Source organism: Homo sapiens, chromosome 2 (genome assembly GCF_000001405.40).
Source record: "Homo sapiens chromosome 2, GRCh38.p14 Primary Assembly".
NCBI classification, from domain to species: Eukaryota; Metazoa; Chordata; class Mammalia; order Primates; family Hominidae; genus Homo; species Homo sapiens.
This window is the reverse complement of record NC_000002.12, coordinates 10,266,655-10,286,995: the sequence shown is the minus strand read 5'-3', so window position 1 is coordinate 10,286,995 and position 20,341 is coordinate 10,266,655. Positions and strand designations below refer to the sequence as shown.

The 20,341-nt window shown below is 55.1% G+C and overlaps 1 long non-coding RNA gene and 1 pseudogene across 1 annotated transcript, besides 4 other annotated features; both read right to left on the bottom strand.

Moving 5' to 3' along the window:
• Window positions 690-1,189: an enhancer, noted in NCBI's record as "H3K27ac-H3K4me1 hESC enhancer chr2:10425933-10426432 (GRCh37/hg19 assembly coordinates)". NCBI's record gives its function as "activates a minimal SCP1, AML or CMV promoter by ChIP-STARR-seq in naive H9 embryonic stem cells {active_cell/tissue: H9 hESC(naive)}" and the evidence as "EXISTENCE:reporter gene assay evidence [ECO:0000049][PMID:30033119]".
• Window positions 2,329-2,929: an enhancer, noted in NCBI's record as "H3K4me1 hESC enhancer chr2:10424193-10424793 (GRCh37/hg19 assembly coordinates)". NCBI's record gives its function as "activates a minimal SCP1, AML or CMV promoter by ChIP-STARR-seq in naive and primed H9 embryonic stem cells {active_cell/tissue: H9 hESC(naive and primed)}" and the evidence as "EXISTENCE:reporter gene assay evidence [ECO:0000049][PMID:30033119]".
• Window positions 2,988-4,187: an enhancer, noted in NCBI's record as "CDK7 strongly-dependent group 2 enhancer chr2:10422935-10424134 (GRCh37/hg19 assembly coordinates)". NCBI's record gives its function as "activates an origin of replication core promoter dependent on BRD2, BRD4, P300/CBP, MED14 and CDK7 cofactors, with strong dependence on CDK7, by STARR-seq in HCT116 cells {active_cell/tissue: HCT116}" and the evidence as "EXISTENCE:reporter gene assay evidence [ECO:0000049][PMID:35650434]".
• RN7SL66P (RNA, 7SL, cytoplasmic 66, pseudogene) lies at window positions 6,105-6,368 on the bottom strand (annotated as a pseudogene).
• On the bottom strand, window positions 13,327-14,595 carry LOC124907731 (uncharacterized). Its single transcript, XR_007086209.1, has 2 exons — window positions 14,278-14,595; window positions 13,327-13,694 (listed from the first exon to the last, which is right to left on the bottom strand). It is a non-coding gene; the product is annotated as an uncharacterized LOC124907731 (long non-coding RNA).
• Window positions 14,821-15,321: an enhancer, noted in NCBI's record as "H3K4me1 hESC enhancer chr2:10411801-10412301 (GRCh37/hg19 assembly coordinates)". NCBI's record gives its function as "activates a minimal SCP1, AML or CMV promoter by ChIP-STARR-seq in primed H9 embryonic stem cells {active_cell/tissue: H9 hESC(primed)}" and the evidence as "EXISTENCE:reporter gene assay evidence [ECO:0000049][PMID:30033119]".

Sequence of the window (20,341 nt, the reverse complement as noted above, 5' to 3'; positions counted from 1 at the left end):
GGCTGTGAGCCAGGGGCAGCTCCGGATGAGAACCCGAGAATCCACCTCCTGACTCCACCCAGCCCACTGCTGGTGCCACCCACACTGCGGCACCCCCTCCTTCACTTCCCATTGCCCTGAAGCCACCGTGGGCAGAAGCTGTCCCCATCACTGCCTTCGGGAGGGGTGGACAGGGCACCAGCAAGCAAACAAAGCTGAGAGTGCTTTGCAGGCGCTCGGGCACCTGGCCAGCTCTGGCTGCACACGGCCGCAGGCTGCAGGGCTCCCGTCGGGGGCGGGGGGGCTATTTGCTGGTTGGGGTTCCAGGACTGCTGCCGCTTCTGTCACCTTCCCAGGAGGCCCTGGTTACCCTCTATGAGGTCCCAGAGGAGGCATCAGCTCAGAGGGGCCAGGGCTGTGTGCCCAGGAGTCAGGAGTAATTGGTTTAGAACCATGGCCTCCCAGCGATGCTTTGGTGGAGTCCCCACCCACGAAGGCCCATCCTTTCCCTCCCCTGCCATCTCAGCATGGTCTAACAGAGGCCGTGCTGCCCGAAAGTGGCCGTGGGCTTGACTGCCCCACTAAGGGCAGAGGCCAGTGACACCCTAACGGTGGCCGGCCCCACCCGTGGAGCCCGGTGCTGCCCAGCCCTTCCTGCCCGGGCCAGGGTCCTGCCTCTGCCTCTCTATTCAGCTCCCAGGCTCTCCTCTTCCTAACCAGGCTGCTCCCTGGAAGGGAGGCCCTCCCAGAGCCTTATAGCTAGGGAAGAATGCAGGAAGTGGGACCCCTCTACAGGGTTTGCTTCCAGGACCTCCACCTCCTGACTTCATGGGAGTGGGAAAAGCCTTGGGCCTCCCCTCCCGCTGCTGCCCCTGGGCCGCCCTCCTCAGCTTCCCTCTGCTGCCCACAGGAGAGGCTGCCTGCCCGAGCCCAAGCGCTCCCTCCTGCTGGAAGGCCCCTCCTGCCTGTCTCCACTTCTCAAACACATTTCTTCCTTCAAAATGCAAATGTGCCCCCTCCCAGTACCCCTCCTCAGCCAGCACCAGCTCCCTGCACACAGCCTGCAGCCCTGCACTTCCAGTTCGGACACTCCTCCCTCACAGCCCTCGAGTGGGCGGGCCACCGGCCTGCACATGCAGTGTGAGAGGCAGGGAGGGTTGGAGGCTGGTGGCCTCCCGACACCCCACGTCCTGGGGAGGGCAGTGCGCTGGCTGGCATGCAGCTGGGCGGACCCAGGGAGGCTGGAAGGCCTGGGGAGCAGAAGTCCTAGCAGTCACCACAGCTGGGCCACCCCGTGCCACTGGCCAGAGACAGCATGACTCAGCACTGGAGACGGGCTTCCTGCCCAGAGGGGCTGCCACTTCTGCCAGCCAGATCATGTGACTTCTCGGGGCCTGGGGTTGTGCTTCTGAGAGGCCATCGCTGGGCCGTGGTCTGGACCTGCAGGCTTGGGCTCCCAGTACACCAGCTGCAGAGCCTTCGCCAGGCTCCAGAACTCTCTGAAGCTGGGTTTCCTCATCTCTGAGAAGAAGGGCTTAGGACTTAGCATTCCTCCTGAAGCTGATTCCAGAATTCAACGAAGCCAACTCCTCCCCTGTGTGCCTGGTTCCTTTTCTGCAGGCACCACTGCCTCATGCCTCTGCAGAGTTGCACCTGCCGTCACCCTGCTAGGCAGCCCTTCCTGTTCTAGCCCTGGAGAGTGACTCTTCCCCCGGTCAAACCTCCCATAGGAAGCCTTTCTCCATATCTGCAGGAGGGGCCTTGCTCTCGGAGCACTTTGCACCCCTCCTCCATTATAAACCCCTGCTCTGCAGGGTGACCTCAGGCAAATCACTTACTCCTCTGAATGTGTTTCCAGCTTCACAGGATGAGTTTAATGCCATGGGCTTCATTCGCTTGGTGTTCTGGGGAACTCATTCACACCCCTCAACACCGGCATGAATGAAGCAGTTTCAGTGTGGAGGTGCTTTGATCAGGAGGATGGAAGCTTAGGAAGGTTTGTGCAGTTGGGTCAGGACAGTGATGAAGGTGACAGGCAACCTGTTCCCTGCAGATGTCTTGGGGCACATGCTGGCATGTGTTCCATAGCTTTATTTTCCAAACCCCAAATCAGGACCCCCAGCCTGAGTCTGACCATGGGAGGGGTTTTTATACTTGGAGTTGTCCTGGACAATCTGGGTCCCAGGCTGCTGGAGTAGGGGGTGTCTGCCAGGTATGCAGGCAGCAGGTGGGCAGGGAGTTCTGACCTCAGGCCCTACGGAGGCATCCACTGGCGCAGAGCCCCTCAGAGCCGAGATGGGGCTCAGCCGGCTGTGTGGGTCCATAGCGCCTCCCAGGGAACACAGTGTGGCTTTGTGCTCACCCTGGCATCTGCCTCAGGCTCTGACAAAGCAAACCCATGCACAGACCTCAGCTCCCCGCACCAGGATGGCAGAGGGGCTGGAGCACCAGGAAAGGGAGGGTCTGGATTGGGTGCCCTTCCTCAGGTCTCAGTTCCAGAGGGGTGGGAGTCCAGGGTCTTTCTGAACGGAGGCTCGGATGGCATCTTATAGCTCCAAGTTCCCCCCACCCACAGTGTTGAAGCAGCCCCACTGTTTGCCTTAAAGCCTAGGTCATGGGGCTGGGCCAGAGAAGCACAATCCCACCCTGCCCCAACACACCGAGGCCACTGGGAGTCACCAGGGACCCCAAGCAGCCTGCGGCCAGCACGTCCCTCTGCTAAACCACCCTTGTCTTCACTCAGATGCCACCAAGCAGAGCTGAGAGCAGGCACGTGGCCCTGTTCATCTCTGGATCCCGGCCTGTTGTTAGAGCCCAGACGACAAACCTCTCAGTGATGTGAGATGGGAAAGCAACGCGCAGCCTGGTTTCATAAGGAAACTGCAATTTTTTTCTCTTTCAAGCTTTTTTTTTTTTTTTTTGAGACAGGGTCTCACTTAGTAGCCCAGGCTGGAGTGCAGCCTCAACTTCCTGGGCTCAAGGGATCCTCCCACCTCAGTCTCCTGAATAGCTGGCCCTATAGGTGTGTGCCACTGCACCCAGCTGATTTTTTGATTTTTTGTTGAGATGGAAACTCACTATATTGGCCAGGCTGGTCTCAAACTCCTGGGCTCAAGCGATCCTCCTGCCTTGGCCTCCCAAAGGGCTGGGATTCCAGTCATGAACCACTGAGCCTGGCCACTCTCTTCACTTTTTTTGCTGCATAAGAAGGATCCAACCCACTCCAGGGTTGAGCACACTTCCCGGGACAGCAAGCAACTATCTCCCCTTACACCTAGGAAGTTCTAGAAATCAAGCTATCCTGGCCTTTGCAGAAAGGGAACCTGACCCTCAGGGTCTAATGTGAAAGAAAAAGAATGCAAAGTGAAGAGGGCCCTGGGTGGAAGGATACAGAAGGCGAGTAGTGGTCTGATGCAGGTGAAAGGAGAGAGAAGGTGGACACCCCCCCACACACACGCAATGCCCAAGACACCAGCAGGCCAAAGAAGGGCTGCTGGGCCAGCAGTGGTGGCCCCACTGGAAGTGAGTCAGGGTGAGTCAGGGTTGGGGTGGGGCGGGGTTCGGGGGAAAAGACTATGTGGTGGCCCTTGGGGCAGCCTGTGGCTCTATTTGCTGCAAAGCGGTGACTGTGAAACTGTCTTTCCTTGTGTCTTTAGTGCTGGCTCCTCCTCCAGACCCATTCCCAGGCCTCTAAGAAGCTCCTCAGCCAGGCGTGCTCGTTGAGAGCCTGAGGAGAGAAAGGAGGCCGTGGCCAGGCCTTTCTACACAGATCCCTCACTGTCACAGAGGGCCGGCCCCTGCCTGTGGCTGCTTTGTCTTGTGGAAGGCAGCTGAGCCCGGCGTTCATCCATCCCCATGCTGGGAACCCTTACGCTGTGAACACAATCCCGGGCACCTCTCAGGTTCCCGGCTGCCTGCTGTTTCCCCTAATGCAGGTTGACTCTCACCTTGGAGTTTGGCTGAAACATCACCGTCCAGGACATGCCACTTGGCTTCCCTGTGGGGTCCCGGGGGACTGGGAGACGTTGGGTTTGCAACAGACAGCACCCTCCTTTCTCTCTGAGGTGGGGCCATGGCATCTCCTTTGGGAGTGGTGGTCAGGGTGGCTGTGCACAGCATTGCCTGGCCTCTTTCCCAGCTTCACCCTCACAGCCCTGGGCTTTCACTTCCCAAATCAAGAGTCAGCCTTTCATCTTTGCCCCAGTTTCTCCAGGGATGCAGCTAACATGCACACTGGCTCTGTTCTTGCAGCCTGGTGAGGGAAGGGTGTCGGCAGGTACTAATGGCCCTGTGCTGAGCCACGTGGGTGAGACGTCAGCTCAAGGCTCTAGGGGCCTTGCCCAACAGAGGCAGAGATGCACAGAGCAGTGTGGGTGGGTGGGAGTTACCATGGAGGAGACTGGACAGGCTGGAGGTACCTGGAGGCCTGTAGTGGGGTCAGACCTTCCCAGGGGTCTGCAGGACAAAGCAGGACCATGCTGGTTTGTTCTTTTGGGGGAGTTTGGGGAAATGAACAAGGATGTATGGAAGGGTGCTGTAGGAGGGTGTTTGAGAGTGTGGCCCAGCTAGAATGTCCATTGAAGGCATTGGACAGTCATGAAGAGTATTGGACAGTTATGGAGGGTATTGGACACTCATGGAGGTAGTGGATGCTCATGGAGGATACTGGACACTCGTGGAGGGTATTGGATGCTCATCGAGGGCATTGTACCATCATTGAGAGTACTGAACATGCACTGAGTGTATTGGACAGTCATGGAGGGTATTGGATGCTCATCGAGGGTACTGGACAGTCACTGACGGTATTGGATAGTCATCAAGGGTACACCAGGACCCCACAGTGAACAAGGCAGGCACCTGCTGGAAAATCAGTCCAGGGAGCAGGAAAAGTCTCAGGCCTCACCTCCTGCTGCTGGCCACTGTGCCTGCCCTCCCCAGCTTCCCTCTGCTGCCTGCCAGCACCTGCCAGTGCCCAAGTGCTCCTTCCTGCCGGGAAGGCCCCTCCTACATTTCTCCATTTTTCAAACACATTTCTTCCTTCCAAATGCAAATATATCCCCACTGAGCACCCCTCTTCAGCCAGCACCAGCTCCCTCCATAAACGATGCTCATTTGGACAGTCAATGAGGGTGTTAGGCACTCACTGAGGGTGTTAGACAGTCCTGGAGGGTACTGGGCAATTGTGGAATGTATTGGACAGCCATGGAGGGTTTTGAACTGTCATGGAGAGTATTAGAAAGTCATCAAATGTACTGGACAATCATTGAGAGTACTGGACAGTCATGAAGAGTACTGGACAGTCATGGAGGGTGTGGAAACTTATGGAAAGTACTGGACTATCATCAAGAGTGTTGGACAGTCATGGTGCATCTTGGACAGTCGTTGAGGGTATTGAACAGTCATCAGGGGTGTTAGAGTGTCATCAAGAAACAGACACGGCTGGCCAGGCATGGTGGCTCACACCTGTAATCCCAGCGCTTTGGGAGGCCAAGGTGCATGGATCACATGAGGTCAGGAGTTCAAGACCAGCCTGGCCAACATGGCGAAACCCTGTCTCTACTAAAACTACAAAAAATTAGCCAGGCATGGTGGTGCATGCCTGTAATCCCAGCTACTTAGGAGGCTGAGGCAGGAGAATCACTTAAAACCGGGAGGTGGAGGTTGCAGTGAGCCGAGATCACACCACTGCAAAACAAAACAAAACAAAACAAAAAAACAACACTCTGGGCCAGCTGTAGTGGCTCACACCTGTAATCCCAGCACTTTGGGAGACCAACATAGGAGGATCCCTTGAAACCAGGAGTATTTGCCCAGCCTGAGCAATATAGCAAGATCCTATCTCCACAAAAATATTTTTTAAAAACATTAGCCAGGTGAGTGGTGTGCATCTGTAGTCTCAGCTCTTTCTAGAAAGAAAGAGAAAGAAAGAAAGAAAAGAAAAGAAAAGAAAAGAAAAGAAAAGAAAAGAAAAGAAAATGAAACGACTGGGTGTGGTGGCTCACGCCTGTAATCCCAGCACTTTGGGAGGCCACAGCAGGCAGATCACTTGAGGTCAGGAGTTTGAGACCAGCCGGGCCAACATAGTGAAACTTCTATTCCACTAAAAATACAAAAAAAAAAAATTAGCTGGGCTTGGTAGCGCATGCCTGTAGTCCTAGCTACTCAGGAGGCTGAGGCAGGAGAATCCTTGAACCTGGGAGGCAGAGGTTGCAGTGAGCCGCGATCATGCCACTGCAGTCCAGCCTGGGCAACAGAGTGAGACTTCATCTCAAATTTTTTTTTTTTTTTTGAGACAAAGTACTACTCTGTCATCCAGGCTGGAGTGCAATAGCATGATCTCAGCTCACTGCAACCTCTGCCTCCTGGGTTCAAGCAATTCTCCTGCCTCAGCCTCCCAAGTAGCTGGGATTACAGGTGCCTGCCACTACGCCTGGCTAATTTTTGTATTTTTGGTAGAGACGGGGTTTCACCATGTTGGCCAGGCTGGTCTCGAACTCCTGACCTCAGATGATACACCTGCTTCAGCCTTCCAAAGTGCTGGGATTACAGGCATGAGCCATTGCACCCGGCCAATCTCAAAATTTTAAAAAGAAAAGAAAAGAAAAAAGAAAAAGGAAAGAAAGAGCCACACCTTTCTGAATGAGGTGGGGAACCCCTGGTGGGCTAGAGGCCACCACTGTTCTTTAGGGGGCATAAGCTGAATCAGAACAAGTGCGGGAGGGCACAGATGAGCGAGGCCAGTCTTGTGTGAGTTCAGGTAGGAGGCAAGGCTGTCCTGAATTAGGGCCCAGCTGTGGGAGTGGGAAGGGCAGGCCAGTCATCACTGGACTAGCATAGCAGAGCTTACCGAGGCATGGTGCTCCGTACTGAGGAAGAGAGGAGAGGAAGGCATGCAGAGCTTTCCGAGGCAGGAGTCAGGAAAATGCGAGGCTTCCGAGTGGTCCAAGAGGTCAGTAGCCTGCCCCGTGTGCGAAGAGGCCAGGAGGAGTTAAAATAGCAGCTAACACCTGTAAGTACTTTATGTAGGTTACCTCATTTAATCCCTAGAGAGACGTCCTTTACTATCGCCATCTTATAGAGGGAAACTGAGGCACAAAGCGGTTTGTTAACTTGGCTGAGGCCCCACATATATTAAGTGGCAGGCACAAGAATAGACCCAGGGGGTCGGAATCAGGGGTCTTTGCTCTGAGCCACGGCACTCTGCAGGTAAAGGCGTCCTCAAACGCCAGGCTAGGGTTTGGGAGTTTAACTTACAAAGGGTGGAGCTGGGGGTTCTGAGCTGAGGGAAGCAGATGCCCGTGGAAGTCCTGGGTAGGCTGGGCCAGTGAGGGGAGGGATGGGCGCAGGAGACCACCTGGGGTCCCATACAGGGCTTGGGAGTCACACACCCAACTCACGACTGCTTTCCCATGGCAGCCTCTTCACAGCCCTGAGCCGAGCAGAGCTGCGAGGACGTTGTTTTATGTCTTGCTCACGCCCAATTCCTGCCCCAATCCTAAACAACTCAGGTGCCATGTGGATGACCCATTTGGTGCCCTGGCTTCTTGGGTCTTCCACCTCCTCTTCTCCACCACATCATCTCCCTCCATCTCAGCCATCAGCTCCACTCACAGTCAGGGACAGCCTGGACATTGCCTCGGAATGCACCATCTCCCAAATCCGAATTCCAGTCACCCACCTCCTGAGCTGGCCCCTCTTCCAAGCTGCCCGCCCAGTGGCTCCTCCGAGGCTGTTCCTTGGCCTTACTGGGAGTCCACTCCCCAACTTCCCAGCCTGCTGGAAGCCCACATCTACCTGGTCAACTGCGCTCTTGAGTTCTATCTTGAACTAACCTGCAACCCCCACATGCTTCTCCATTTGATTCCCCATCTTGTTTAAGGAGGGCTTTGTATCTTCTCCACTCTCTGAAATTCTCTGACCTGTTCTGCACACTTCACACTCTTGGTAGAGCTCCCGGCTGTCTTCATGATGTAGAAGCCATCAGACAGAGAGCCTTTGACCTCTGTGGCCACATCTACAGACTCGAGCCCCTCCTCCCTCATCCCTCCCGCAGGAGAGGAGCCATGGAAGCCGTTTCTGTCCTTCTCCCAAAGCCTGGTCTCCTCGCCTGGGCTTTGGACAGCTGCCTCTCCCCCTACCCCTGCCTTCTCAGGAACCTGAAACCAAAAACCATCTTCCTTTCTCTGTGACTTTGGCATTTCTCATTAATATTTAAGCGGAATGTGGCAGAAGCTGCCAGTCACCCACCAATTCCCTTCTCCTCTTCCTCCTCGGCCACAGAAGCCCAAGCAGCGGGGTGGGGCCATGTGTCTGGGATCTGGCCAGTGAGACACAGGCGGAAGTGGCCAGGACAGTGAGCAGAAAGGAAGAGGCAGCGTGGGTGTCTGATGACAGAGGCGCTGCCATTCCCACCACAAACTGCTGGCCTCTAAACTTCTCTCCTAACGAAATAGTGTCACAGCCAACCCCAATCATAACCGACCACGTGCTCCACCACCCACATCTGAAAACACAGAACAGTCAGCTCTTCCCAGGATTCCACGCTCCTTTTCATTGATGGGCCTATCCTTTCCTTTTTAGGACAGTTTGTCATGGGAAAAGCCTCAGGGTTTGTTTGCTCCTGGTGCACTCTGGTGTGGCCTCCATCATATGATCAGAGCTGCTTCCCCCAAAGCCCCCGATGGCCTCGTGTCCCTGAGTCCAGCGGGCACTCCTCCGCCCTCCTCTGACCCCAGTCCATCGAGCACTCCTCCTCCCTCCCCCAACCCCAGTCCAGGGGGCACTCCTCCTCCCTCCTCCGGCCCCAGTCCAGCGGGCACTCCTCCTCCCTCCTCCGACCCCAGTCCAGGGGGCACTCCTCCTCCCTCCTCTGACCCCAGTCCAGGGGGCACTCCTCCACCCTCCTCTGGCCCCAGTCCAGGGGGCACTCCTCCACCCTCCTCTTACTTGAGTCCAGTGGGCACTCCTCCGCCCTGCTCTGACTCGGCTGCTTGCCCTGGCCTGAAGCTCTCCTCCTGCGGCTTCTACGGTACTGGACAGAGCCTTGTCCTCCCCATGTCTCAGGGTTTCTTGCTCAGCCCCCTCTGCCGGCTTCCCCTCCACCTGTTCCTCAGATGCAGAGTTCCTCAGGGCTGAGACCAGAGTCCGCTCTTCCCACCCCATACCCTCGCCCGATGCTGCCGCTGCCCGGAATGCAGCAACACTGCCGGGCAGGCCTGCCACAGGACGAAGTTCCTCCCTCGCTCCAGAGATTAGGGTTCAGCAGGGGAGCATTCCTTCCCACGCAGGTCTGCCAGGTGCCATCCACTGGCCATGGCTCACTTCAGTGACCTCTAGCAGGCGAGCCACCTCCTCCCTCTGCCTCTGCCTGGACCCCACTTCTGCCTGCCAGCGTAGCATCTCCACCTACTTGTCCTCAGGTGTCCCAGGCTGAACGTGTCCCAAATTCATCAATTCTCTTCCTTCCCGGGCCCATTGCTCCCGGCGTTCCCCGTCTTGGGAACTGGCGTCACTGGCCCCCTGAGGCCTTGAACCTGCAGCTGGGAGTCACCTGTGGCCTGCTTCTCCCCCGTCCTCCATCTGGTCCACCACCAAGTCCCCACGGCCCAGCCTCCTAAACATCCCTCGAAGGAACATGCTCTCCTCATCTGTGCCTCCACAGCCACTGCAGCGGCCTTCCCTCGGCCTGCGTGGAGCTTCTCTGTGGGTCCCCTGTGTGTCAAATTCAGCCCTTAGATCACGAGTGGATCCCAGTACTTCCCTGCTCCAAGCCTCCAAAGCCCCCCAAGGCTCCGAGGAATGGAATGCCCTGCCTCATCCCGGCTCCCTGCCTCATCCCCGCTCCCTGCCTCATCCCCTCCCACCACTCTCTAAGAAAGCAGAGCCCACGTCACCCCTCCAGTCCTGCAGGGCCCCCACTCAGGTTCGGGTGTCCACACACATCACCTGCTCTGCCCGAAATGCTCTGGCCCCACTCTCCTCCTGCCCAGCTTCAGCCCCTTCTCAGGACCTGACTTTAACGACTCTCTGTCAGGCAGGTGGCCCGAGACTCACTCCTAGGCGCCAATAGCACCCCTGGTATTGTGGTCAACTGACCAGGTGTGAGCTGATCTGACCACCCACCGCCCCCTCGGCTGGCGTGAGCTTCCGGAGTAGGGACAGTGCCCTGCATACAGCAGGTGTTAAGTGCTTGCTGAATGCCTGAAAGCCCCTCTGTCCTGACAGGAGGGCTTGGGGCCAGGCATGAAAGCAGAAGGGGAGGCACAGGGTGGCGGGGGCCTGAGCGACTCTGTCCCTGTTTGGAAGGGAAGAAAGCAGGGGCAGGCAGAGGGAAGGCGAACCCGGGCCTGGCCCAGGGGTGGGTGGAGGGCAGCACCAGTCTTGGCAGAGGGCACTGGAGCGGCGAGGGTCAGGGACGTAAGAAGTGTTCATCCCTCAGGTGACAGGATGCAGGAAAGAGGTCTGGGCGAGGGGTGAAGGGGTGGCAGCCATGGGGAGGTGAGGGAGCTGTGGGAGGAGAAGAGCCACTGGGGCGGACGGGAGGGAAGAAGAAAAGCCGAGACGGAGCCTGGGACTGTGATGCTGACACCGTCACCTGCCCGCCAGCTTGGGGCTGCAGAGCTGCCGGGTCAGCCCTCTTCAGTTCATGAAAACGGAAAGGAAGAAGCATGCAGTTCTTTTCAAACAGACACTGAGCCAAAGTTGGCGGGGGCAGCAGCAGGGTACTTCTTGGCAGGGAGCACTTACTTCTGGTCCAGGCTACCAAGGGTACAGGTTTGCCCTGTTAAGCCACTTTGGGATCCGAAGCTAGAAGAGGTCAAAGTGTCCGAGGCATTCAAACCAGAGTGACTCCATCTTGAATAGCGGCTGGGTAAAATAAGGCTGAGACCTACTGCCAGTGGGCTGCATTCCAAGGAGGTCAGGAGGTCAGGCATTCTTTTTTATTTTTTTTATTTTTTTATTTTTTTTGAGATGGAGGTCTGCTCTGTTGCCAGGCTGGAGTGCAGTGGCGTGATCTCGGCTCACTGCAACCTCCACCTCCCGGTTAAAGCGATTCTCCTGCCTCAGGCTCCCGAGTAGCTGGGACTACAGGCAAGTGCCACCACACCCAGCTAATTTTTGTATTTTTAGTGAAACAGGGTTTCACCATGTTGGCCAGGATGGTCTCGATCTCTTGACCTCATGATCCGCCCGCCTCAGCCTCCCAAAGTGCTGGGATTACAGGCATCATGCCCGGTGGAGGTCAAGCACTCTTATTCACAGGATGAGATAGGAAGCCGGCACAAGATACAGGTCATAAAGACCTTGCTGATAAAATAGCACGTGGTAAAGAAACCGGCCAAAACCCACCAAAACCAAGATGGCGAGGAAAGTGACCTCTGGTCGTCGTCCTCACTGCTCATTATACAATAATGATAATGCATTAGCATGCTAAGAGACACTCCCATCAGCACCATGACAGTTTACAAATGCCATGGCAACGTCAGGAAGTTATCCTATATGGTTTCAAGTGGTGAGGAACCTTCAGTTCTGGGAATTGCCTATCCCTTTCTTGGAACATTCATGAATAATCCACCCCTTGGTTAGCATATCATCAGGAAATGGCCATAAAAGTGGACCCCTCGGGGCCGCTCTGCCTGTGGAGTAGCCAATTCTGTTATTCCTTTGGTCTCTTAATAAACTTGCTTTCACTTTATGCTGTCTTTTGAGAGATCCAAGAACCCTCTATTGGGGTCTGGATCTGGACCCCTTTCCGGTAACAAAAGGGTTCATCATGGGCCCCTTCTGTGCAAAGCTGCCTAATTAATTGGACATTTAAAGTGTCATTCGAATGTCTGAAACTTTGATTGACACACAACCTTCAGGTCACTGCATGAAGGGATGTCCACAGGTATTCAGAGAAACCCTCAGAAATGTTCTTCCCAAACTTTTAGGACTGGCGTTGGTTTTGTTTAGCAAAAATTTGGTTACAATGAGAAATTTTTTTTTTCAAGACAGAGTCTCGCTGTCTCCCAGGCTGGAGTGCAGTGGCACGATCTCGGCTGGGTTCACTGCAAGCTCCGCCTCCCGGGTTCACACCATTCTGCCTCAGCCTCCCGAGTAGCTGGGACTACAGGCACCCACCACCAAGCCTAGCTAATTTTTAGTAGAGACGGGGTTTCACCGTGTTAGCCAGGATGGTCTCAATCTCCTGACCTCATTATCTGCCCACCTCGGCCTCCCAAAGTGCTGAGATTACAGGCGTGAGCCACTGCACCCGGCCTAAATTTTTTTTAATGTTCACATATATCCTTATATTTTTATTTTTAACCTAAAACATACAAAAGTACTTTCATCCATCATATCCGGATGTCTGTGCGACGCCTTCCCTGGGCCTGGGCCACGTGGTTAGAGTACACACCGACTCTGGCATTGTGGTGCCCGGGGGACCCCTGACTCGGAGCCTCTGCTTCTTAACTAATGAGAGGCCAGCACGGTTGCTCACATCTGTCATCCCAGCACTGTGGGAGGCCAAGATGGGTGGATCACTTGAGCACAGGAGTTCAAGACCAGGCTGCGCAACATGACGAAACACCGTCTCTGCTAACAATACAGAAAAATTAGCCAGGTGCGGTGCTATGCACCTGTAGTCCTAGGTACTCGGGAGGCTGAGGTGGGAGGATGGCTTGAGCCCAGGTGGCAGAGGTTGCAGTGAGCCAAGATCGTGCCACTCACTCCAGTCTGTGCGACAGTGAAACCCTGTCTCAAAAAAAAAAATAATATAATGCGAGTTTAAAAACATTTGTAAACAACAAGGTGCAGACTCCACTTAGGCCCCTGTTTCCTGTGATGTGCTGGTTGGCTATTGCTGCCCAGCCAACGACGCCGCCCCAGCACTTACAGCACCGACCCTCATTCACACTCTCTCATGTTGTCTGTGGGCAGGGATGTGGGAGCAACTGGACTATAAGGTTCCCCTGAGGTTGCAGCCGACGTCAGCAGGAGCTGCCCTCAGGAGCATTGCCTGGTGCTGAAGGTGCCGCTTCCAAACTGCCTCATTCCCGAGGCTGGTGCTAGCTGCGGGTAGGAGGCTTCAGCTCCTCTCCATGTGGCCCCTCCAAAGAGCCATCTTCATGGTGTGACAGCTTCGTCCAGAGCCAGAGACCCCAGAGAACCAAGCAAAGGCTGCAACGCCTTCTGTGACCCAGCCTTGGAGCACACAGAGTGTCACTCCCATGGTATTCTATGTCTCCCAGTCGGTCTTGATTCGACATGGGAGAGAGCCACACACGGTGTGAACTCCAAGAGATAAGAAGCATGGGGCCATCTTGGAGACTGGCGGTCACACCAAGCTTAACTCAACAGCAATTTTGTAAAGCAATTCACCTTTAATGAGTCTTTTCAAGGCATTTAATGAGTGTGCATAGAAATCACTTTCATATTCATATTTTATCATTTTGTGTATACTCAATTACACAATGCCATTATGATAAGCATAACTAATATAAACAGATTGGGGAAACTTCACTGACTGACAAGCGGACAGACCCAGGCAGCAGTAGCAGCCCAAGTACGTGGGCACATGGGGAGAAGGCTGCAGCCGGGGTGGAAGCTCAGGAAGGCTTGTCGGGGGCTGCAGGTCGCTGGCTAGATCTGATGGGGCCTGATGTACCCTTTGGTGGCCCCAGAGTCACTGCACCGGCACCAACTGTGTATTTCTTCTGTGAGCCTCAGAGCTGTATAAAGTACGTGTGTTTAGGCCAAGAAGAATTTAATTCACACCAGGTGCAGTGGCTCATGCCTATAATCACAGCACTTAGGGAGGCCGAGGTGGGTGGATCACCTGAGGTCAGGAGTTGGAGACCAGCCTGCCCAACATGGTGAAACCTCATCTGTACTAAAAACACAAAAATTAGCCGGGCGTGGTGGCGTGCTCCTGTAGTCTCAGCTACTCAGGAGGCTGAGGCAGAAGAATGGCTTGATCCCGGGAGGTGGAGGTTGCAGTAAGCCGAGATCGTGCCACTGCACTCCAGCCTGGGCAACAGAGTGAGATTCCATCTCAAAAAAAAAAAAAAGAATTTAATTCACTTCAGCAAGTGTTTCCTGAACACCTGCAGAGCCAGGCACCAAAGGCGTTCAGACAAATTCTTCTCCAGGCCAGTCCCAGTGCAGGGAGGGAAACAAGGGAAAGAACCTTTCAGCCTGGCGCTCACTGGGCTGGAGGAGGCCCGGAGGCACGGGAGCGCAGGGGAGAGTCTCAGTCCCCTTGGGTGCGTAACAAAGTCCCACAGACTGGTGACTGAAACCACGGACATTTACCTTCTCATAGTCGTGGAGGCTGAAAGTCCAGGATTGAGGTGTCGGCAGGGCTGGTGTATTCTGAGGTCGTCCTTTGGCTAGGAGGTGGCTGTACTGTGGCTGTGTCCTCACGTGGTCTTTCTGCTGTGTGTATCTGTGCCCTAATCTCTTCTTAAAGGACATGAGTCCTGTTGGACTGGGGCCCATCCAAATGACCTCATTTTACTTCCATGACCTTTTAAAAGGTTCTATCTCCAAGTATAGTCACATTTTGAGGTACTGGGGGCTTCAAGACGGGGGCACAATTCCACCTGTAGCAGGGAGGAACAGGCATCCACTTACCCGGGAGATCCTAGTGGGCTTCCGGGAGCAACCACGCAGAACCCTGTAGGATAAATGGAGTTTTTCTGACCAGGCAGGGGTAGGGTGGGGAGACGAGCTCTGTGGGAGCTGCAGTGGGGCAGGAGGGACCACCACCATTCAGCATATGGAGGGTGGGGCAGGCAGGGGAGCCCTCCTTGTTCCAGAAGCAGACCTTGGGTCCCCTCCACGCGGCCCACCTTCTCCCTCCCAGAGCCTCCCTCAGGTCCCACCTCTGCAAAGAGAGCCAACGCCATGCACCAAGCCACGGGACACTTGTCACTGGTGACTCAAAAGGGAGGGCTTGTGTGTCATTTGGCCTTGAGCATGGAAAGTTAGATCAGCTGGAAAGAGTAAAAGGAAGTTGGGAATTGTTTTTAAACCAGCCGCAAGTGCAGGAGTGATAAAGGGATGGGGAGGCCACTAGGCCTTTTGGAAAATATTAATCGCCCAGAGTCTGAAGGAAAAAGCGAAAAGCAAGGCCTGGCGAGCCCCTCCACTGTCTGAGCGCACAACTGAGGGGAGAGGTGCGTGTGTGTGTTTGCGTGTGTGCATGTGAGTGTGGGTATCTGTGTGCATGTGAGTGCGTGCACATGTGTGTACATGTGTGTGTCTGTGTGCATGTGTGCATGTGTGCATGGGTCTGGGTGCGCATGTGTGTGTATGTGCACGCGTGTACGTGTGTACGTGTGTGGGCATGTGTGCACATGTGTGTGCTCACGCATGTGTGCATGTGTCCGTGTGTGCATGTGTGTGCACATGTGTACATGTGTGCTCACACGTGTGTGCTTGTGTGTGCGTTGTCTGTGTGTGTTGTGGGGGGCTGCCTTCCTGGAGCCCATCAGCCCAGCACAGCTCTGGCCCGTTTGACAATGTCCCCTGAACCACTGAAAAGGACCATTTTTTTTTTTTGGAGATAGGGTCTTACTGTCACCCGGGCTGTAGTGCAGTGGTGTGATCTTGACTCACTGCAACCTCCACTTCCCAGGCCCAAGCGATCCTCCCACCTCAGCCTCCCTGGTATCTGGGACCACAGGTCTGCACCACCATGCCTGGCTAGTTTTTTATATTTTTGGTGGAGACAGGGTTTCGCCATGTTGCCCAGGCTGGTCTTGAACTCCTGAGCTCAAGCAATCCTCCTGCTTCGGCCTCCCAAAGTACTGAGATTACAGGCATGAGCCACTGCACCTGGCCTGAAAAGGACCTTTGACATCAGGGTCATCACAGCCTCATGCCAGCTTTGCTGCAAGTGCTGGACTCCGATTTGTGGGAAGATGAAGGCAGGTTACCCTGGGACTCTCTCCTGCCTCACCTGGACTTCCAGACGCACGGGGAGTGTGTGCCTTCGCAGCTTGGCATAGTGAACCTGTGAACAGCCAGCCTCTGAGAACAATGACCTCATCTTTATGAAATTTTAGTTGTGGAATGTTTCATAATTTGCACAACACTTGTGTGTGATCTGTAAACGAACACTGTGTACCTGCTGGGGTGCAAGAAACCTCCTTCCTGGCAGGGAGCATGATCAGATCGCTTTGGGCCCACTGGCTGCAGGACATGGTCCTCCACGGCGCAGGGCTGGCACTGAGGGCTCTGCGGGAACTTCCCAACCTCTAAGCCCAGGAAGCACCTCCCTTCTGCCCTCGCCCACGGGGTCTCTGGAGCAAGCCTGCCCCCTGGGGCAGGAGCTGAGAAACTGGCTGGAGGCCTTTCGCTCTGCCCATTTCCTGAGGTTAAGGAGGAGTCCTTCCAGTGTAAATGGAGGTAGGGCCCATGTGTGCACGTTTGCACACACGCAGACACCCACCCAGCCTGAAATGTTGGGTTTGCAAGATCCAGATTGGGGTGTCTTGGGCAGGACTGGCCATATAAGTCTCCTGTGCTGGTCTGAGGAAGGGGGTTGGCACACACAGGGCCCCTGAAGCCCTGGCTGATACCCTCCGCCTGTCTGCCAGGCGAAGCCAGGCTGCTCTCATGGGCTCAGTCCCTGGGCACCTTCCTGATGGAGATGCCCTTAGCAGCCTGGGTGAGGCCCCAGGGGAAAGGCTTCAGATCCTGGAGCAGAGTCCAACCCCCTCATGTCACAGCTTAGCACACTGAGGCCTGGAAAGAAAGGACACGCCCAAAGTCACCTGGCTGGTCAGCTGCAGAGCCAGGCATCAGGTGGCAAGCCCTGCACTCCTTCCGCCGAGTCTCCAGGCTTGCCCTGGTGCCCCTGTCCCTGCGTTTCCAGACCTGGGCACTCAGGACACTGTGAGTCCAGAGGGGTGGCCTGGCAAGGGTGAACCCAGCCAAAGCCGGAGCCACAGGAGGGAAGACCCTTCTCCCAGCTGGGACTCACAGCCCTGGCCTGGCTCTGCCTGGCTGGAAACAGTTACAAGGCTGGGACCAGCCAAGAACACCCCGGGCCTCCTCTCTGTCCTCACTGCCTCCCACCTTTCAAAGTCAGAAAGCCTTTCCCACCTGGCTTATGCCAGGGCTTGGGGTAAAGGCACAGCTGGCAAGCAGCCTGGAGGGGAGAATGAAGCAGCGGAGGTGGGGAGGGAGGAGAGGAGGAGAGAGCACTCCCTGCCTGCCGCTTACGCAGAGATTCCGTCATCATTAGGCTTCTTTTGGTGACACACTCCTGATACCCAGGGACTCGGAAGATCCCATGGAGGGGATGAAGAGTTATTATTTGCACAGAGCATGCAGCTCAGAAGCATAGCTCCCCTCTCTCCCGACACTCTGCCTCATCTTTGATCCTCTCGGTGGCTCTGAAGTGGGTCCTATTATCATTCTCCCTGGGCAGAGGAGAAGACGGAGGTTCAGAGAGACTCAGTGATTTGCCCACAGCCACTGGGCCCTGGTGGGGCAGAGGCTGCCTCCAACCCTCAGATCCGATCTGAGTTCAGAGTCGTTGAGGGCATCCTCATGTGGCTTCACAGCTCTCAGGCCGCGGTGGGGCTGGCTCGGACAGGAAGCACTACATTGCATTCCCAAATGTTTTGGTCTCAGGACCCCTTTCAGTTTTCAAAAGTATTGAGGACCCCAAACATGTTTTACACATAAGGGCTATATCTACAGATTTTCTGTGTTTAAAACTAAAACTGCCAGGTGCAGTGGCTCATGCCTATAATCCCAGCACTTTGGGAGGCTGAGGCAGGTGGATCATCTGAGGTCAGTGGTTCGAGACCAGCCTGACCAGATAGGGTGAAATCCTATCTCTACTAATAATACAAAAATTACCCAGGCATGGTGGCGGGCACCTGTAATCTCAGCTACCCGGGAGGCTGAGGCAGGAGAATCACTTGAACCCGGGAGGTGGAGGCTGCAGTGAGCTGAGATTGAGCCATTGCATTCCAGCCTGGGTGACAAGAGCAAAACACCGCCTCCAAAAAAAACAAACAAAAGACAAAAAGAACACCTAAAACTGAAAAACTCTAGAAATATTTTAACTCGCTTAAAAATAATAATGTCTGTTACATGTTAACATAATAATTTTTGATTAAAAAACGAATATTTTGCAAAGCAGAAAAGATGTTTAGAGAGAAGCGTGGCATGATTTTACATTTGTGCAAGTTTCTTGAATGTCTGGCTTCATAGAGGATTTACATACCCACTTCTGCATTTAATCGATTGCAGTAGTGCACAGATCTGGCAAACTCCACTGCACATGTGTGAGACAATGAGAATAAAAAAGCAAATAATATTTTAGTATTGTTATGGAAATAGTTTTGACCTACAGACTTCCCGAAAGGGTTTCAGGGATTCCCAGGGGTGCCCCTGAGCCACACTTTGAGAATCACTGCACTGCAGTCTCTGAGTGTGGTCTGCGTCATTCACAAAGCAAATTCCAACATCTCCTGACTCTAAAATGCATCCCCCTCCCCACCGACACATTACAGGATTTGTGAACTCCAAGCGTTTCTCCCAATTGCCCTTGGTTTGCGCCTCTCCCTGCATGCTTGGTTCAGTGGAGGATCTGTTAGTTCACGGAATCTTACAGCCAGGGGCGTCACATAATCCTCACAGTGGCGAACCTCTGGATGCCATCTTGCCTCCAGAGGGAGACTCTGGGACCGCTTCTCCACACAGCTTCCGAGGGCCTGAGCGGCAGGTAGCTGGAACCTAATGGAACCTAGGCTGGGGTGCGGGGCCCTGGATTGGGGGTAGCCCTGACCAGGCCAATGTGCCACCGGGCAGGAGGAGCGAGTCAGCACACCTCCTCTGTGCAGCCCATCCTGCCCCCGTCCCCCTCCCCGCCCCTCGCCCCTCCTGTGGGCCCCCGTGCACCCTCCTAGTACACGTGAGCTCTCAGGGACAAGCTGTCGCACTGTTTGTCATGGGTTTGCCTCCCCACCTGGCTGTAGGCATCTGAGGGAAAGAGAGCGTCCTATCTGTCCATACAGCCCAGGACTGGCCCTGAGCCAACCCTCAGATGCCAGGTAAAGAAGGCCGGCAGGCCCTTCCCTGTCAGTGAAGAAAGAAGTTTCCAGAGGCCCGTTCCCTGAGGAGCAGGTGGAGGGCAGGGCTGGGGAGGGGCATCCCACGGATGGCAGCTGTCGCTCGGCAAAGCCAAGGGCATAACTCACCTCAGAGGAGGCCGTGTTCAGGCCGCGCCTGGTGCCCAGATAAGCTGTGCAGGCCGCTGGGCTGGAGCCTGGCCCGCATGACAGGTGTCACCGGGAGGTCCCTGTAAGAGGAGGGAACTTGGGAACATTGTGGCTCCAGGGAAGTGCACAGATGTCCTGGGCCCCCCAGCTCCCAGGGAACCAGCCCCTCCCTCACCCGGACATGGCGCCCTGCCTTGTCGCGGTTGTCGGGGATTTTTCCCTTATCCCGTGGTCTCTGGGAAACCCAGCCCTGCACCCAGCACTTGGCACCTGATAAGGGTTTGCAGAACTGAATGTTTTAAATGCATCAAGAAACGCATATTGAGAGGAGCTGCTTGGAGTCAGCGGAGTCTGAGTATGGACTGAGGATAGTAGCCCCGTCACACACGTGGGCTTCTCTAAATTAGATTTCCTAAAAATGGAACTTGTTGGACACTCATAGCTAAGGCAGCCAGAATGTCCAGGAATTCTCAGCAATTCTGAGCAGGATCTCTCCAGAGGAGGTGAGGAACCCACCCTCGGAACAGAGCAGGGTTCCAAGGCCGCTGTCTCTAGAACACAGGAGGCTCGGGCTCACCTGGCCCCTCTCAGAGCCTGCATGCAGCCACTGGGGCTTTCCTCATGGAGTTGCCAGCCATGAGATGGAAAATTCTGGAAATCTCATAGGCCTTTAAGAAAGGCAAAAGGAGAAAAAGGCCAGACACCAGGGCAACCTCCTGGTAATTCTAAGGTGCTCAGAACCTCTGCGGAGAAAGGGGCCTGCCTGTACGTCCGGGTCTTCATCCTCCTCCCAGGCAGGGCTTGAGATGTGGCAGGTGGAGGCAGGTGGGGATGTGGGGGGCCCAGGAAAGACCCTTCTCCCACAACCACATGCACACGTTTTTCTCTTTCTCTTTCTTTTCTTTTCTTTTGAGGCAGGATCTCACTCTGTGGCCCAGGCTGGAGTGCAGTGGTGCCATCACAGCTCACTGTAGCCTTGACGTCCCCCAGCTCAGGTGATGCTCCCACCTCAGCCTCTCGAGTAGCTGGGACTACAGGTGTGCACCATCTACAGTAGGTGGGCACTACAGGTGCCCAGCTAATTTTTGTATTTTTTGTAGAGATAGGATTTCACCATGTTGGCCAGGCTGGTC